The sequence below is a fragment of the Homo sapiens genome, chromosome 6 (genome assembly GCF_000001405.40).
Source record: "Homo sapiens chromosome 6, GRCh38.p14 Primary Assembly".
Classification (NCBI taxonomy): domain Eukaryota; kingdom Metazoa; phylum Chordata; class Mammalia; order Primates; family Hominidae; genus Homo; species Homo sapiens.
This window is the reverse complement of record NC_000006.12, coordinates 65,398,064-65,418,843: the sequence shown is the minus strand read 5'-3', so window position 1 is coordinate 65,418,843 and position 20,780 is coordinate 65,398,064. Positions and strand designations below refer to the sequence as shown.

Here is a 20,780-nt window from a genome sequence, read left to right as displayed (position 1 = left end):
TTCTCTTTATTTCTTCTAAAAAAATGGGATACATGTGCAGAACGTGAAGGTTTGTTACACAGGTATACGTTTGTCATGATGGTTTGCTGCACCTATTGACCCATCCTCTACGTTCCCTCCCCTCACCTACCAACCCCCAACAGGTCTCTGTTTCCATGTGTTCTCAATGTTCAACTCCCACTTATAAGTGAAAACATGTGGTGTTTGGTTTCCTGCTCCTGTGTTAGTTTGCTAAGGATGATGGCTTTCAGCTTCATCTATGTCCCTGCAAAGGACAAAGGACATGATCTCATTCCTTTTTATGGCTGCATAATATTTCATGGTGTTTATGTACCACATTTTCTTTATCCAGCCTATCATTGATGGGCATTTGGTTTGGTTCCATGTCTTTGCTATTGTAAATAGTGCTGAAATAAACATATGTGTGCATGTGTCCTTATAGCAGAATAATAGGAATGCTTTTACAGTGTTATTGGAAATGTAAATTAGTTCAACCATTGTGGAAGACAATATGGCAATTCCTCAAGGATCTAGAACCAGAAATACCATTTGACAGGTCTTCTCTGTATTACTTTTTGTTTACATCATTTTGATTGTGTTGCTCAAAATTACTTTTCTAACTGGAAATGTAGTTTTTCTACTAGGAATACTTGAATTTATTAAATAGGAACTTAGGCTGGTATGTACAACGTAGTCCCATGTAGCCTAACCTAAAATTGCACAACAGGATATGTAACATATGCATATTTTTCCAAAAATTATACCTCACAGTCTGTTTTGAATTCTACCACACCATTCTCATATCATAATTCAGTGCTCTGGGAGCCCTCTTTATTTCAGTCTCCTGCTTCTTCAAATTAAGAGATGTGAATGGATTTATTTTAGGGGCCATATCTATTTGCTCCCCATGTGCTTTTTGTTGTTGGTATTCTATGCATGATTTACATGTTTTTAGGTACTTTCTTAAATCCAGTATTGCATTTTGGGCTTCTGGCAGCCATTCCTCGAAGTTTCTGACGAATAATGTAGAGATGGAATGTTTCTAGACTATCCTCCTTGTGCCTCAGTCACCTTGCTTATAATAGGCATAACGACAATATCTACTTTATAAAAGTTGCTGCATTATTACATATAAAGGGCTTAAAGCACTGTGTGGTTTATTAAAGACATAGATGAAAAGCAATATAACAATCATTCTTATGCATTTATGTGTAATCTTTGCTTTCATACTACAAGAGCAGAGTTGAATAATCCAAGAGACCTGATGGCCCACAAAGCCCAAAATAATTACTATCTGCTTCTTTAGAGAAAAAAAATTGCAGATCCATACAATGGAGGAATATATTGGGTTTTAATCTCCTTGCAATAGGTTGTGTGCTCAATCCTAGTAATTTAAGTGGAAGAGCTGAGTGGTGAGAGTCACACATTAGAAACTTAGCAAAGTCAGTACTTTTAACTGCTAAACTTTCATATCCTGCATGGCCAAAACTGAATTAATAACAAGATAATAACTTTACTTAAATGGTATTTGTTAAGGTAAATTAGGCTCAATGTGTTTTTGGAGGTTAATTCTCTGATTTTTTTTGATAAATTATATTTTGTTATTGGTATTTTTGACCACTATAAATTTATTTGTGTGAATTTTTGTACATGTTTAGATTGCAATTTTACTACAACTTTACAATGAATACTACTACAATGAATACTACTACAGCTTTACAATGAATAACTTAAAATAATTATTTTGTTTATCTGAAATGCCAAACTAGCAACTTTTTACATAATTACTTTTACCATGGATGAATAACTGAGTATTTTCATTAAATGTTCTTTCTTATTTTGGAGCAATTCTTTGTCTTGGCAAACTCTTAAAAATGTAATCAAACATAGGTAAACAAGTTAGCTGTCTTTCTTCAATTTTCTTGTATTTATTTCTTCTGTCACTTTTCAAGTTCTTGAACAGAGCTCCTAGCAACCATTTCTTTCTCTCCCCATAGAAATGAAAGGCAAATTATCATCCTACTTGGTGATGTCTTTGTGTTGCCTATCCTAAGAGTATAATAGCTTCATTCTTACAGGAAAGTAGACTAAAACGAACTTGAGTGAATAAAATACTCAACTAACTGCAGTGCGTTATTTTACACAGAATTGCTTCGGAAATTTTTGACACTTCATCAGAGGACTGACCAAAAGAATTTACTGAAATTGTAATAAAACATAATGGTCTAAAATAATCTTTTATTCATTGTGATTTTTTTATGGATATATGCACATTGTTAGGATAGCAGAGCTAGTTTGTTTTATAGAAGCCCCATTATGATTTCTACTAAAATAAAAATTACTTAGATAATTTTAATAGCGTTGCTGCTTAAATATTTTACTTCAAATTATTTGGGTTATGTCTGTATGTTTGTACATGTGTGTGTATGAGAGAGAGATAGAGACTTTTTTGAGATAAAAATGATAATAACTTACACTTGGAGAATTGTTTCTTTATCATGAACATCTTTTAATAAATGGCTCCTTATTTATGCCACACTTACTATTACTATGAAAAATGTACTGTACTCTTATAGCAAACCCACACTATGTATTTTTTGTATTTAGATAAACTTTTAAGCATTCTACTCCAAGAATATAACCCTGTCTCATTTTTCAAATTTGTTCCTTCTAGGATTCCAAATTCTGTTGGTTTTTCATTCCCTCAAACAACAAAGACTATTGAGCCTTTACCATACTTTCATTATTTCCTCCTTGTGATGCCTTTCTCTTCTTGTGCAATTAAATTATATGGTGTGTCATTACTACCACTTTTTCACATTCTCAATTTCTTGTTCCTCTCTCCTCGCGTTGTAACCCCCTGCAAAATTACAAACCTGTTAAATTTATCTCTACTTATTAATTTGTTTGCAGTAAAATATACATGGAACCATGCTACCTGGTCTCATATATTCACTAATTGCAAGGAGTTCGTAGACACTGCCCATAAATTTTGATAGGTTTTTCTAATGTGTGCATTTTTTTCTCTCAATATGCTAAGCAACCATTTATTACGTCTCTTCCTTGCTCAAACTTCCACCCCTTTCATTAGACTTCATTTTTGTCTTTGCTTCATATTTTAGTAAACAGCAGAAACAATCAGAAAAAGAGATCTCCAGGCTCTGCCTGGATGCCACCAGTTAACTTGATTCTTTGCCCATCTATTTTTGTCTTTTCTCCTGTTATATTGATGTCTCTTACCTGATAATCCCTTTACCGGTGGGCGGGATTCCATGTGTCACTCTACCTTACCTATAGACATTAATCTAGAATCTGTCCCCTTTATTGCATTCATTATCAATTTTCTTTCTCTAGTTAAGCATCCCATCTGTTCACAAATATGACCTGACAACCTCTAAGACCTCCCTAGTTGCTACTTCATACCACTGTACTTCATACAACTCAGAAGAGATATTTGGATCAATGCTTCACAAATTTTTATTTACATATGAATCATGTGGGACTCTTGGTTAAATTGGATTTGCCTTCAGTTGGTCTGGAGTGCATTTCTAATGAGATACCAGGTGAAATCTTGATTCTACTGGTTAAGGGACCATCCTTTGAATTGCCAGGAATTATATACTACCTCTTTCCATTTTTATTCTTCTCATTTCCTCTTGAACCTATGCAACTAATGTTTATCCCCACTATACCATAGAAACAGTTCTACTAATGTTTATTAAATCGCCATTGCTAAATTTAATCTTTAATTAATTCAGTCTAATTCTTCATCTTTTATAAACCATTTGCAGTATTTGACAAATTTTGTATTTTTAAAACATCACACTCTTGTTTCTCCTACATTCCCCCTTCCTTGGTTGTTCTTTCTTAATAACTTTTCAGGTACCTTCCCATCTTTATATTTTCTATACACTGAAGTGCACATTCTATACATTGATAGCACAACTCTGCTATAGTAACATTAAATATCAGTGTTGTCATCTCTCTCTCCATTTTTTCCCTAAAGGATCATACCTGTTCTCTTGGCTTTAAATACTATCCTCATACAGGCAAATCTCAAATATTTATCTTCACTTATGACCTCACCCCGGAAACTGCAGATCACTCTAATTAACTGCCTATAAACCAACCTCACTTGGATGTGTAATAAATATCTTGAAATTAACATATCTAAAAGTGATTCTGATTTCTTCCCTTAAATTCTTTTTCCTTATCTTAGAAAAGATTAATCCTTTCTTTCTGGTTACTTACATAAAAAAAAAAGATTAAATCTTCCTTTTCCTTTTCCTTCACTTTAAATCCATCAACAAATGTAGATGACTGTACTTTCAAAATATATTTAGAGCATGATTTTTTTCTCACTGTCTTCTTCACTAGCATCCTAATCCAGTCTCTATAATTCCATTACTGCAATACTGCAGTAGTCTAAAATCTTGTCTCTCTGCTTTCCTTCTTGGACATCTACAGGCTACTTGTGAAGAAATATTTTGAAAATGTGAAATCATGCCACTATTTAGAACAAAATGCTCCATAATCTTTCCATAGAATCTAAAAGCAGTAAATGCCAGAATTCCTGAAATAGTTTATTACATCCTCGTCTGAGCTCATCTCCATACCCATACAATTGTTGACTCAGTCTCTTAGCTTTCGTTCTGTTTCTTGAATACCTAAGCATGCTCTCAACTCAAAGTCTTTGCATTTGCTGTTTTCTCTGTTGATATGCTCTTTATTTATTCATTTACTTGTTTTTTCACCAAATATTTATTGAGAATCTATTGTGGGGTAGCAGCATTCTATTTGCTTGTAATAAATCAGCCAACAAAACAAACAGAATTACCTGCCCAAGTAGAGCTTATATTTAAATGAAGGCAACAAATTATATACACAAATCCTTATATAATATATTATTTTAGAACATTATCTGAACTGAAAAATGTAAATACAACAAGATGTGGGAAGTTGGTGTTCACATTATTCCTTTTTTTTTTAAGACAAAGTCTCCCTCTGTCGCCCATACTGGAGTGCAGTGGCGCAATCTCGGCTCACTGCAAGCTCTGCCTCCTGGGTTCTAGCAATTCTTCTGCCTCAGCCTTCCGAGTAGCAGGGGTTACAGGTGCCTGCCACCATGTCTGGCTAATTTTTGTATTTTAGTAGAGACGGGTTTCACCATATTGGCCAGGCTGGTCTCGAACTCCTGACCTCATGATCGGTGCGCCTCAGCCTCCCAAAGTGCTGGGATTATAGGTGTGAGCCACAGCACCTGGCCCACTTTGCTCTTAAACAACCTATCCACAGGACTCATTCCATTATTTCTATAAATCTTAGATATTCCTTGCATCTTTGAGGCTGCACAATGTGCCCCCTCTCTTAAGTACTCTTCTTAGAAATCCTTTTACTGATTTATTTTTCTTAACATCATTTATTACTAGTAAATGTACTATATAATTAATTGATTATATGTATTTTAAATGTGTTCTATTTCCTTGTAAATTCATGACTTCATGAGGTCAAAATCTATTTTGTACATTGCTATAATCCAAGTATATAGAATATTTCTTGACATATAATCAGTGTCAATAGACACATTATTCTAAATTAATTAAAGTATTATTTTAATTGCTTCATAGCTGTGATGAAGAATATTTTACATAAGAAAAAGTCTGATATCTTAATTTGGGGGTCTAGGCATATATGATCATTTTCTTTTCATCAAACATTCCATTAAAATAAACAAATATGGTGTTTCTGAAGCATAACATGGAGACCATTATCAGACTTTTTATTCAGGGATTCTGGGGAAATTGAGAAGTGATGGGATCAGGTAAATTAAAAATCCAAGGCACAGAAAATCACATCTTAAAATGTGCACAACAAAATGCTTTCACCTCAGAAAAAGCAGTTCTCCCCATTTTGAAATCTTGGGGTCAAGCTTATGAGGATGGATCACTGCAAGAGCTCTTAGATATGGCACTAAAAGCACAACTCATAAAAGAAAAACTAAATAGATAAATCAGTGTTCATAAAAATAAACTATTTTTTTCTAGAAATACCATGTTAAGAAGATTAAAAGACAAGTGATAGGCTTGCAAACCACATATATGACAAAGGACTCATATATAGATAACAGAAAGTCATCTCAAAACTCAATACCATGAAAATCCAAAAATCTCAATAAATAATAGACAAAAAATACAAGGAGAAAATTCACTGAAGAAGCTATAAGGATAGCAAATAAGTACATGAAAAGATGTTCAATGTCACTGACCATGAGATAAATGCAAATTAAGGCCACAATAATATGTTGCTACATACCTATTAAAATAGCTAAAATAAAAAAATGATAACACGAAATGCTGGTGCATATGAGGAGTAACTAAATCTCTTATACATTGCTGTGGAAAATGTAAACTAGTACAGCCACTTTGGAAAACAATTTGACAGTTTCTTTAAAAACTATACATGCCTTAACCATATGACCCAGCAAATCCTAGTAGGATAAAAATTTACTTTCACACTGAAGCCTATATATTAATATTCGTGGTAGCTTTATTTGTGTCTTAGTCAGTTTAGGCTACTATAACAAATTAACACAGATTAAGTGGCTTAAACATTTATTTATCACAGTCCTGAAGGCTGGGCAATAGAGATCAAGGTCTCAGAAGATCTGTTGCCTGGTAAGGCACACTTCATGGTTTGTCAATGGCTGTCTTTTTGTTGTATCCTCACATGGTAAAGAGCTGAGAGAGGGATAGCAAGCTATCTGATTATTATAAGGGTACTAATCTTATACATGAGAGCTCCACTGTCATAATCTAATTACATCCCAAAATTCCCACCCCAAATCTATTGTATTGAGGATTAGGTTTCAACATAATATGTGGGGGACACAAATTTTCAGTCCCTAGCAATTTGTAATAGTGAAAAACTGGAAACAATAAAAGTGTCCTTCAATAAGTGAATGGTTAAACAAACTGTGGTACATTCATACCAGATACTACTATTTACCAATTAACCGAAAAAAAAAAAAAGACGTATTGGTGCACATAAGAGCTTTAATGTATCTCAAGGGCATTATAACAAGAGGGACAAAAAAGACAATTCCAAAAAGTTACATATTGTATGGTTTCATTTAAAGAACATTATCAAAATAGTTCAACTATAGAGATGGAGAAAATCGATGGTTGTCAGTGATCAGGAAATGGTAGAGGGCAGAGAAGTGGGTAAGATTATAACGGGGTAGCATGAGAGAGATCTTTGTAATCATGGAATGGTTCACATTTTTATAGTGGTGATTACCTCAATCTACACATGTGATGAAATGACATAGAACTATACCCAAATATTATGCTAATGCCAATTTTCTAGTTTGATATAGTGTTATAGTTACATAAGATGTAAACATACTCAGGATTTCCTGGTATTAACTTTGTAATTTTCTATGAATCTATTACTATTTCAAAATGAAATGTGAAAAATCACACATTTCACTGTTTACTATGTTACCCAATGGATTACTTTGGAAACTGCCATGACAAATATACACACAGGATATATTTATACATTGGGAGAATTTTGTTTGTTTCTGGAAGAAGCCAAATAAAATGCATTTGTTTTTGTATATTTTTATATTCAACATGTGATGTTGAACAACATTTTATCTGAGAGTAGAAATATTGGTCTAGTACTAACAATCAAATGGTATTTGAGTCTTCTATTTTTTGTACAGAATTAATCTGGGCAAGTATTGCTGTGAAAAGAGCATGGAATTATTATGGGATTAGGTGGTATGCAGTTTTTAAAATTATCAATCTTCCATTAATTAACCAGATGTGTGACATGTGGCAAATTGCTTAACATCTAGAAAAATTAGTTTCTTTTAAATAAAATAAAATGAAAATATAAAACTCATTTATTTTACTTAACATAATATCCACCATTTCCATCCTTCTCACAAATAGCAGAATTTAATTATTTTATATGGCTGAATAGTATACTATTTTGTATATAGTTAACATTTTCTTTATCCATTCTTCCATTGTTGAACACTTAGGTTGATTCCATTTTTTGGCTATTATAAATCATGCTGCAATAAACAGGGGGTAAAAATATCTCTTTGGTATACTGACTTCAATTCCTTTTGGAGATATACATCATGTTAATTGAAATAGGCCAGACACAGAAACACAAAAACTGCAAAAACTTCATGATCTCACTCATAAGTGAAATCTAAAAAAAAAAAAAAAAAGCTAGTATCATAGAAGTAGGACAGTGGTTACTAGAGACTGGGGAGGGGAAGGAAGAGGGAAAATGGGTAGAGGTTTGTCAACAGGTACAAAGTACAATGAGATAAGAAGAAGAAGTATTGCTGTTTGATTGCACAGAGTGACTATGCTTAAGTAAGGTGCTATATATTACAAAACGGCTAGAAGAGATGGTTTTGAATGTTCTTGCCACGAATAAATGATAAAGGCATGAGGTGATAGATATACTAACTATCCCGATTGGATCATTATACCACATGGGTATGTTTCAAAATGTCAAATTATACTCAATAAATATGTACCATTACAATGTGTCAACTAAAATAAAACTGGGTAAGAATAGACCTCTATAAATTTCAGGTTTTGTTTTAAGAATTTTATCAAATCTTTATGGATGTAAGCACTATGGAAATGCCAAGAATTACATACTTATAAGGTAGTATCATTCAAACAATGTTTTACTATAATTTCAAATAATATTTATGTCTAATTAAGTACCACTAAACATCTAATCAAATATCAATATTTGATTATTTAAAAGGAAAACATTATGTTAATGTATCATAACATGGAGAAATACATATTTACTCTTTGTATGATCAAAATAAATGCTTATATATTAATAAATATCCACAAATTAAAGGTTGAGTTGTTTTCAAATAATAATGTCAATGGTGTGGTCACTGAACATTTTATACTGCCTTTATGACTGTCTGTTTTACAAACTGACACAATCCAAAATCCAAATGAGTTAATATTATATAATCTAAGCAGTGTTTTCTGGCTAGTAAGTTGTCACTAAGTAACTTAATATTTTGTAGATAAGTATTTCTTGATGCTCCTCTTCACATAGTAATAAATGAGTTGGATATAAGAAATTTTTCAATAAATATGTTGTTTACTAAAAACTCTTGCACTATATAGTGATTTGGATGAAAATGGTTATAAACTTGAAGTACGAATACCTTAATTTTCAAAGTCCACGTATATCATTTTTAGCTAGGAGTCAGATGTCTCCCTTTTCAGTTTTTTCTAACATGTATCAATTGTCCAAAGCCTTACTCAAGGTAAGAGGAGTAAAAGAGTAAAATTTGTTTTCAAAATCTAGAAGTTCACAGAGATGGCAAGGCCTGTCAGCCTACTACTGCAGTTACGTTTTAATGTCACTATGGTGTGCCTAATGACAGCACATTGAACAGATTGACAAGTATTTGTTAACTGTGAAGTGAAACACCTGCTGATCCAAGTTCTATACAAGCTGCAGTGGGTACCCCAGGCTTGGGCCTTAATAATACTAGTTTGTTAACTCTATTTGCATAATCTTAGTAGGGTGGGGACTAAGGGGAGGCAAGTGACTTGCCTAGGAAATCAAGTTTAAAGAGGCACTTGCTTTCACATCCCTTCAAGTGCCAAACCTCACTGTACAACTCTGCTGTTGATAGTGTATTGACAAATAGGCATGGCAAGAAAATTAGTCTTAATAAATCTAAAGGAATACAAATCATATCATATATGTTCCTCAACCCTCACAAAACTAATTAGAAATTAACAACAGAATTGTTTCTAGAAATCTTCACATATCTGGAAATTATTATAAACAACATATTTCTGAAATAACCTGAGAGTAAAGAAGAAAAAAATAACATGGAACCATATGAAAAATTATGAAATGTAGCTAAGACAGTGCTTAGCTAAAACAGTGCTTATACTGTGCTTAAGTACTTATAACAGTGCTTATAGTTCCAAGTTTCTACACCAGAAAAAGAACTCTCAAATCAATATTTTAAGCTTCAGCCTTAAATAAATGGAAAAAAACCACATTAAATGCAAAGCATACAAACAAAAGAGGACAGTAAGATTTGCACAGAAATCATTAAAACTTCTTAGAGAAAATCAATGAAACAAAAAAATTGATTTTTGAGGAAAACGAAATGGACAAATCTTTAGTCGGAATGAACAAGGAAAAAATACAAGGAAAGACACAAGTAAATAAAATAAGCATTGGAAGTGAGGACTCATTAATGACCGCTCAAACTTTAAAAGATTATAAGGAGATATTATGAACAACATTAGGCCAACAAATGTGACGACTTAGAGGAAATGAATAAATTCTTAAATATATGTAAATTACTAACAGTGACTCAAGAAGAAATGGAAAATTCATATAGACCTGCCAGATATTTAAGAGATTAGTACCAATCCTCGATAACTGGCACTAATCTCTTAAAAGAAGAGAAAAGGAAAAAAGAGAAGAGAAAGGAACACTTTTGAAGTCATGCTATCAGGCCAGTATTACCCTCATACCAAAACCAAAGACAAAGCTGCCACAAGAAAACTAAAGACCAATATCACTTATGAATAAAGATAGAAAATCTCCACCAAAATATAAGCAAATTGAATCCAATCACATATAAACATATTTTTTTCTATCCTGATAAAGTACGATTTTTTCCCCAGGATTCAAGATAAGTTTGATATCTGAAAGTCAATTAATGTAATATACCATATTAATATAATAAAGGACAAAGCCTACATAATCATCTCAATAGTTGCAGGAAAAACATATCACAAAATCTAACACCTATTCATTATAAAAACTCTCAACAAATTAGAAATAGAAACACAATCCCTCAGCCTGATAAAAAGCATCTATGACAAATGTCCAGGGAACACCACATTAAAGGTGTCAGGCTGACAGCTTTTCTTGGAAGAATTGGGAACAAGACTATGATATCTACTTTCACCATTTCTATTTAACACTGGAACATAGGAAGTTCCAGGCTATTTGTTAGACATACACACACACACACACACACACACACACACACACACACACACGGACTTATTAGTTGAAAGGAAAGCAGTAAAACTGTCTTTATTCACAAATGACATGATCTAATATGTAGAAAATCCTAAGGAATCCCCCCAAAGAACTACTAGCACTAGTAAATGGGTTTATACCGTTTTCAGACTACAAGCTAACATATACAAGTAATTTGCCTTTCTGTATATTAAAAACAATACTTCAAGGCCGGGCATAGTGGCTCACGCCTGTAATCCCAGCACTTTGGGAGGCCGAGACGGGCAGATCATGAGGTCAGGAGTTCGAGACCAGCCTGGCCAACATAATGAAACCCCATCTCTACTAAAAATACAAAAATTATCTGGGCATGGTGATGCATGCCTGTAGTCCCAGCTACTTGGGAGGTTGAGGCAGGAGAATCACTTGAATGCAGGAGCTGGAGGTTGTGATGAGCTGAGATCATGCCACTGCACTCCAGCCTGGGCAACACAGCGAGACTATGACTGAAAAAAATAAATGAATAAAAATAAAATTCAAAAATAAAATTAAGAAAGCAAGTCTAGTTACATGACCTTCAAAATGCTTAGATATGAATTTAACAAATAAATGCAAGACTTTAACATAAAGCTATGCAACAATGCTGAGAGAAATGCAAGAATAGCCAAAGAAATGGAGATACATTGCATATTCATCGATTGGAATTCAATCTTGTTGGGATGGAAATTTTTCCCAATTTTATCTATTGATTTAATAAAATTCCTATAATATTCCAGCAGGCTTCTGTGTAGAAATTGACAAGCTCATAGAAAAATTTATAGGAAACTATAAAAAGAATCCATAGCATAGCCAAAAATATTTTTGGAAAAAAAGATGGAAAGGTTGAATGACTACCCAATTTCAAAACCTACTATATAGCTATATGCATTATGTATTTATCTGGTCAATGGGTTATTGCACATAAAAAGGCATATAAATCAGGAAAAAAATAGATATGCCAGAAATCAACTTTCTTGCATATCTATGTGCAACTTTATTGCACATAAAAAGGCATATAATAGGTCAGTTTTAACAGTTTTTAAACAAACAAACAAAGAAATGAGGGAAGGACAGTCTTAAAAGAAAAAAGTGTCATAACAATTGTATGTGTATATGTGAAACATATAAGCTAAGTCGTTATCCCACACCATATAAAAAATAAACTCAAATGGATTAGGAATCTAAACATAGGAGCTAAAATTATAAAATATATTAAAATGTCTTCATGACCTTGGGTTAGGCAAAATATTATTAGACACCAATTATATGATACCAAAATATATGACATAAAAATGACAAAATGGACTTAATTAAAGGAAAAGTAGAAAAATTGGATTTCATGAAATAAAAACTTTTGCTATCCAAATGTCAACAAGTGAGAAAATGGAAAGCCAAATCACGTATATCATAAAGGACTTTTATTCAATATATACAAAGAACTCACTCAAAAAATGCTCTCAATCATAAGAAAGCTGATAACACAATTTAAAAATAGTTAATAGATTTAAAAAGACATTTCATTTTTGAAGATATACAAATGATTAATACACATACCAGAAGATGCTAAAAATAATTAGTCATTAGTGAATGAAAATTTAAGCCTCAGTGAGATACCATTGTACATTTACTAGAATGACTATAATAAAGAAAACGGACAATATCAAATGTTGGCAAGAATGTGGAGAAACATAAATCTGACACATCACTGGTGGGAATGTTAAAATGGCACAGCTACTTTGAAAAACAGTTTAGCAGTTTCCTAAAATATTAAACATGAATTTTCCATAAAATCCAGCAATTCCACTCCTGGGATTCTTTTCAAGAAATATAAAAAAAGCATATTCCTTCGAATAATTGTATATGAATTCATGATTCATGAGAACCAAAAACTGAAAACAGATGTCCACTGAAGGATGAATGGATTAACAAAATGTATATATTGTGAATTACTCTTTAGCAATATAAAGTACCAACTACTGATATATGATACAACGTGAAAATTCTTTAAAAAAAATTGCTATGCAAAAGAAGCCAGTCGCAAAAGACCAAATACTCCATCATACCTTTCTAATGAAATGCCTGGAACTGGGCTTGGGTACAAAGATTGACTACAAAAGAGCTCTTCTTTGGGTAATGGAATTGTGCTAAAACTGTATTGTGATGATGCTTGAGTAGCTCTATACATTTGCAAAAGTTACTGTAGAATTGCAATGAATGAATTTTATAATATATAACTTACACTGCAATACATTTGTTAAATAAAAATATTTCATAAACTCTAGAGAAATTTTCTAGAATGTTTTGCTACATATCTATGCTCATTTCTTCTTTCCTTCCTTCCTTTTCTTTTTTTTTCTTGTGTGTGATTTTTTTAAGGTCCATTCTGTGAGGTGTCAGCAAAACCTTGTGTTTCTCTGCTTTTTTGGAAAAGAGGAATTTGCCCAAATAGCAGTTCTGCTTATACTTATGAATGCCCAAAAGGATCTTCCAGCCAAAATGGTGAAACTGATGTCAGTGAGTTTTCATTAGTACCATGTCAGAATGGTACTGACTGCATCAAAATATCAAATGTAAGTCTCAATCTAACATATAAGTGAGTGGTTTTAAATTTTTTTTACTATTACCAAGCAATTTGAAAAGAATAAATAATTAGAATCCTTATTAAGGTAGTTTAATTGTTAAACTCAGACGAACAAGAACGGTCTACTTATTTTAATTTTTCCTATTTATATAGGAAAAAACTTTGCTCTTCCATCAGTATTTTCCCTTTTAAAAGAATATAAATTTGTACACTCTTCATTTCTACTTATTGCTTTTTTTCATCTTTTAGTTATTCAATATTGTTTTACTTTAACTTTTCAATTTAACATTTAAATAAATAAGAGTAGGAAATATTTCATTAGCTCTTCTCACAAATTACTGTCTTTTCATTTTAGATTCATATTTGTCATTAATTCTTTAAAGAACCTTAAGAGATTATTTTTCCAACCTCCTAAACTTTTTGTTACTAACACTCTGAAAAGGAATTTTTTTTCCCCTGGAGAATTGTCCATTTTATCAAAAAAATTGCTGAACTTTTGCTGAGAAGAATTAGTTATATTATATAGAACATAATATACAGATAAAAGTTTATAGAAGAACATTTTTTACTCCACCTGATATTTCTTCTACAATATACAAAGATTTGTTACCAATGTACCATATACTAGACCCAAATATTTGGAGATACAAGGGCAAAGAGCAATAATACATGCTTCTTCTAAAAATCAAGGAAACTATTATTGTAGTAAGCAGACTATGTATGCCCCTCATCCTCCACCAAAAAATAAAATAAAAATAAAATAAATAAAAATGTCCATGCACTAATCCTGGGAATATGTGCATGTGTTATGTTACCCAGCAAGAGGAAATTAAGATTGCAGATGGAACAAAGGCTGCTAATCAGCTGATGTTATCTTGGATTATTTGGGTGGATCCAGTGTAATCACAAGGGTCCTTTAAAGTGGAAGAGAGAGATGGAAGAATCAGAGTCAAAGGGGGATTTGATGATGTAATGAGGCTGGTTTTAAAGATGGAGGAAGGGACCATAAATGAAAAAATGAATGCATCCTCTAGAATAAGCTAGAAAAGTCAGGGGAACATTTTCCTGTAGAGCCTACAGAAGGGACACAGCAGACATCTTGGTTTTAGCCTTCTGAAACTTTTCAGACTTATGACCTCTGGAACTCTAAGATAATGATTTTTTGTTGTTGTTGTTGCTTCAAGCTACTAAGTTTGTAAGAATTTGCTATTTAAATAAAAAGTTGTTATATAAATAGAAAACTAATACAATAATCTATCAAGAACTATTAATAGTATCGTTTAAAATGTTTTGCTTTTAAAGTTGACAATAATGAACAATTGAACACATGTTATAACTTTACTAGTTAAAAGAATCTTAATATAAGAAGCGACTTTTAGTGGATGTATGCTTAACTATTAATTCATAGAAGTACTTTAATTCTATTTTTCTTCTCTATTATTCATTATTTATATTCTCTATTTAATATTCTCATTATTTAATATTCTCTATTATTCATTAGAAGAATTATTTTGTAGATAAATTACTTGGAAAATTGTACATGTTATCATTTGTACTGCTACCATGTATGAGGTTGGGCAAGCTATATACCTCTTTCAACGTTAGTTTTGGGTTAAATTAAATAAATTTTGATTGGATTCAATGAGAATAAAAAAATCATCAATTTTAAGTATACGGGCTTTTTACCTTGGAATCTTAATAAATCTTGTTGTTCAGATAAATATGATAATGAAAATGATGGTAATGATGATGATGATAAGGATAACAAAGAAAAAAGAGAGGAAAAAATAAGGAGGACAGCAAGAGGAAGAAATATGATGATTAGGTTGTATTTTGAATGCAGGTGAAATTAACTTTTGCCCAGCAAATTTAATTTCATTTTATTTTTACCTGCCCATGGATGCATGGACTTGTTTCAGGTGCCAATGGTTTATTTTCTATGCATAGTCACCCCAAAACTTGGTGGCTTAAAATAATTATTTTATTATTATCTCTTATGGTACTGTGAGCTGACTTGTCTCAGCTAGGATATTGTTTAGAGTCCCTCTGAGGTTGCCATCGGAAAGTGTCTAGACTTGGACTTCATCTTGAAGGTTTTCTTATTCATATGTCTGGTAGTAAATGTTGGCTGTTAGCTTGGCCCAGAACTGGGCCTATTAGCCACAATCCTAAACATGATTTCTCCATGTGGCCTGCGCTTCCTGAGAGCATGGTGGCTGGGTTCAAAGAGCAAGCATTCTAAGATAATTAGATAGAATCTATATGGCCTTTAAAGCATCATTGTCTCCATGATCACAATCTTGCTTACATTCAAGAGGAAGGGAATATAGTTGCTAACTCTTAATAGAGGAGCTTTGATTTCACATAGCAGGAAGAGTGTGTGAGATGGGAGATGGTGTTGTGACATTTTGGAAAATAGAATCTGCCACATTGCTGACAGATAATTTCTACTCCAAGTTCATGAAAATAATTTTAACCCTTCTCCAGGTAAGAACCCATTCATTACCTTTGAAATATCCATAATACTTTGTAAAAATATTTTTTTAATCTTTCCTAGGATGTTATGTGCATCTGTTCACCAATATTTACAGATTTGCTTTGTAAGAGCATTCAAACATCATGTGAGTCATTTCCTTTGAGGAATAATGCTACATGTAAGAAATGTGAGAAAGATTATCCTTGCAGGTATAATTAATTTTCTGTTTATTTTTAATACAAAGTACATGGATTTTTAAATCATGTGAACAAAAATATAATGATGTTCTGGTTTTAACCCTAACTTTTACTTAATGGTATATAATATTCTATTTGAAGTTAAAGTAAATTTTTTTTGCATGTTTTGGGTTAATTGTTGTGGTATTAATTTAAAATAAATATTTGAGAAATTGAGAAATTCTCAAGCATAATTTAGGTATACGGTTATTAAAAAATACTTTGTTTAATAATGGAGGTTTTAATATAATCAAATAATAATTGAAGATCTAGAAAGAAAAGAGAGAGATATGTCTCCATAGTATTATTTTTGTTATACATATATAATATTGAAATATTTTAAAATAATAGAATATTTCTTCCTGTGTTTCACAAACCTCAGCAGATAGATATTAGTTAGGGTCTTTAGGCAGACTTTTAGGAATTCATTCTTTCTTTAAGTAATAATTTGCCACAGATTACTCATTTATAAATGGCAGAAGTGACCCAAGAATCTGGGTGTATAATTTAGTCAATTTTAAATAGCTTTATAGACATTTTCTCACATCATTAAGAAATACAATTTATACTCTTCACACTTGCCTGACTTTTATCTGACTGCTTCAAGTAAATTCTGTTGGGCATTATTGAAAAGCAGTAAGTAGCCTCAAAATTTTAGAATATTCATAAAGGCAGAAAATTAACATGTGGGGTACAGAATAGCCTTGGAACACACTGAAAAGAAACTTAGAATATGCATCCACTTCACACTGTATGATACTTTAATCTATTTCAAAGGAATCCAAATTTAAAGATTTTTTTTAAATTAACCTTTTGAAATGTGACTTTTTCAAAAGAACTGACAATAAACCTTATCATTATATCAAGATATTGAAAACTGTAATCCATTCTGTCAAATTTTTGCATGCCTTCAATTGTATATTAATTCATCAATAAACCTGAATACTATCCCTTTAAAAATATTTACTTTTAATTTACAATTCTATTTCTATGCCTCAATGTGCTAGTAGATTAGTGAATGTACTTAGAAAAGTGATCAACTTAAAAAAAAAAACAAATACATCTCCTCCCCAAACATAAAACTGACTGATTAAAAAAAAATTGCTAACTCTGACTCAGGTGAAATAATAGAGATATAATAAATATTAATTAAGTATGAAGTTGAAAAAAATGACAGGAAATTAATCTTGAAATCTATTTTTCTGTTCTCATATGAGTCAAAGAATATCAGTGAATATAATAATAAAAATAAAAACGACTTGACTTCAGTGCTTTTATGTTAAGGATTTATCTGTGTGTTACTAACTTATGAGGTATGTTTTCCTAGGTCAGTGACTCTAACACTTTGAAATTAGAACTTCTTGAAGAGCTAAAGTACAAATGGTTGTTCCTTGTCTCTAGTGTTTATAATTTAATAGATCTGGGATGAGGATTGCAAATGTACATTTCCAATCAAGTCGTAAGTGATGCTGATTGTCCTGATCTGGAGACACCATACTTTGAGAACTATTAGTCAAGATGAGCTTGGCCTTAAACAGCTTCAATGAGGGAAATTGTCTTATACCTTCCAACTAGTTTAACTACTCTTCTACTGAAGTTTTACTCTTCTGAATTTGGGAGAAAAAAAATGTGTCAAGGTGAAAAGGAGTCAAATGTGGAAAGGAGAAGAATAGAGTGATTATGATGATATTAGTTTCCCTACCTGAACATATGCTATAGATCTAAATTTATATGGGTAGATGAGAGAGAAACTGAAACAAAATTACCTCCCTGAGAAAGACAGTGAAACATTGGTTATGGAAATTTTTATTTGGTACCTAGTAACTTAAAGCAATACAGTTAGAAAGAAATTAATTTTCTCCAGTAGTTAAAAATCAGAAAATTCCTTACCACCTAGAAGACTGAAAGCTTTAGGTGTCTATGGGAAGTTAGCATAAAAATGTTATTATTATGAGCAGAAGGAGTTGTAAAGTATCAAAAGTGGCAATGCTGGGAGCAGGTAGCACACAAGTAGAGTCTGATAGGAAAGGAAAAGGAATAATTGATGTCTTGGAGGTATCAGACAGATAGAATACAACTTTGGTGACTCTCTTAAATTATAGAAGAATGGTTTGATTGTTTATGTGAATACTTTGGAAAATTATTTGAAAATAAAATGGAGTTTGTGAAATACAGCAACTGCAAAAAAAGAAACAAATATTTTAAAAAGGATACTTGACCAGTATTTGGGTGGTGGTTTAGCCATCCAAATACTAGGAATTCCTAGAGAATTCCTCTCACTCTTCTCCAGCATTACTGCTTTCCGTCTACAAAAGTGAAATAACTTTTTTACCCCCTACTTGCTTGTTTGGCCCTAGCAGGTAAATTTTTTCAAGGTATATTTGGCACTTTTGCATGTTGATACTTGAACCATTTGGAAGAAAGTCTGCACTTAAGATTAACACTGAAACTCCTACTAGAGGTTTTAAAGGGAAATGAAAGTCACACTCTACAGTAACACTAAGAAATTGTATTGCAGCATGTAATTGGGCAACTGGAGGTCATTTTGCAACCATGAAGTCCAGCAAGGAGACAAAGCCAAAACAGATATAGAGCTGAAAGGATTAAAAGGAGAGCCAGAACAATGATCAAATTGTTTATGAAGAAAGAACTACCTATAGACAGTTTAACAATATGAGCCAATAATTCCCTGCATTGGTTTAGTCTGTTTGAGTTAGGATTATGTTATTTACAACTGAAAACTTTCCACGTAAATATACTGAACTTCTTTACAAACCACTGAGTTAGATTGCTCACATATTTTAAATGGTTAATCTTCAGCCATACAAGTAGTTTTATTGCTCACTCAATTATTAGTTATCTACTAAAAGAAAATCAAATATTTCTGTAATATTGCTGACTATGAAAATGATTTTGAATTACTAAGAAATTCTACTCTACTGTAAGATATTCAAGAAGAATGTGTTTTATTCATGTCTGTATTTCTAAATTATTTTACTATGCTATGTATAGAATATTTTCTAACTAATTTATTTGATTCATTATATAATTTGTTTATAATAATGATTTTGGATCTTACTGATTGAAATGGAAGGTCTTGACTTGGGCGGTGACATGAAATGACTAATTTGTTTAATTTAAAGAATATTTATATATTTTTCAGAAACTTTCCTACTCTAAGTAAAACTCTTCTGCAACCATAAAAAAGGCCAAACAAATTAAAAAGAAAAAAAGCTCTTTTCATTAGAAACTTACATTCCAGTAGGCAGATACTGCTTTAAATGATCACTCTGACTCAATTTTATTAAATAGAGTGTAGGTGTATGTTCCCAAGGGAAGGGAGACCAGCTAGAAAGCTACTATGAGTATGTAGCCCAGAGTTGGTGGTGACTGACACTGCCATCAAGATGACTCGCGATGGTGGTAATTAAGGATCAGATCTGGAATATATTTCTAAGAATAGTTCAATCTTTTGCTGAAGGATTAGATGTGAGGTAACAGAAATAAGTCAAGGGTAACTCTAAGGTTGTTTGCTCAATTGAAAGGTTGGGAAATAAACCTTAACAGTTTTCTAATACCATTTCCAAAATGGAAAAATCTGTAGAAAGAAGGGCCTGGTTGGCAGGAGTGTAAAACAAGATGTCAGTTTTGAACATGTTAGACAAGACACCTAATAGAGCCAAGTAGAGATATTGAAGTAGATATCAAGTATGTTTCCATTTTAGAGAAGCTATCGGGCTAAATATATAAATTTGGAAGCCAGTGCCAGAGACATGACATTTAAAACCAGGAAACTTGCTGTGCAGAAACCTTTTAGTTTAATTATATTCAATTTTTGTCTATTTTTGTTTTGTTGCATTTCCTTTTGAGAACTTAGTCATTAATTCTTTGCCTAGGCCAATGTCTGGAAGAGTTTCTCCTAGTTTTTTTTTCTAGGATTTTTAAAATGACAGGTCTTAAGTTTTTAATCTAACTTGAGTTAATTTTTGAATATGGTAAAAGATAGGGGTCTAGTTTTATTCTTCTGCATATAATTCTTTATTTTTCCCAGCACTATTTATTGAATAGGATGTTCTTTCCCCAATGTATATTTTTGTTGACTTTTTCAAAGATCAATTTGTTGTAGGTATGTGGTTCTCTATTCTGTTTCATTAATCTATGTGTCTATTTTTATATATCAATACCATGCTGTTTTGGTTACTATAACCTTTTAGTATAATTTTAAGTCACCAGAGTAAACAGACAAACTATAGAATAGGAGAAACATTTTCAAGGAAAACATACATCAAAAGGCTAGTATTCAGAATCTACAAGAAACTCAAACACCTCTGCAAGGAAAAAATCAAATAACCCCACTAAAAAGTCAGCAAAAGGCATGAACAAATAT

At 32.1% G+C, this 20,780-nt stretch overlaps 1 protein-coding gene across 4 annotated transcripts in view; it reads left to right on the top strand.

Moving 5' to 3' along the window:
• Positions 1 to 20,780, top strand: part of EYS (eyes shut homolog) — a 1,987,247-nt gene that overhangs the window by 288,383 nt on the left and 1,678,084 nt on the right. For all 4 annotated transcript variants that reach the window (NM_001142800.2, NM_001292009.2, NM_001142801.2 and 1 more), the window contains 2 exons: positions 13,477 to 13,670; positions 16,239 to 16,366. In NM_001142800.2, coding sequence (NP_001136272.1) covers positions 13,477 to 13,670; positions 16,239 to 16,366 — 322 coding nt within the window. The remainder of the gene's footprint in view (positions 1 to 13,476; positions 13,671 to 16,238; positions 16,367 to 20,780) is intronic.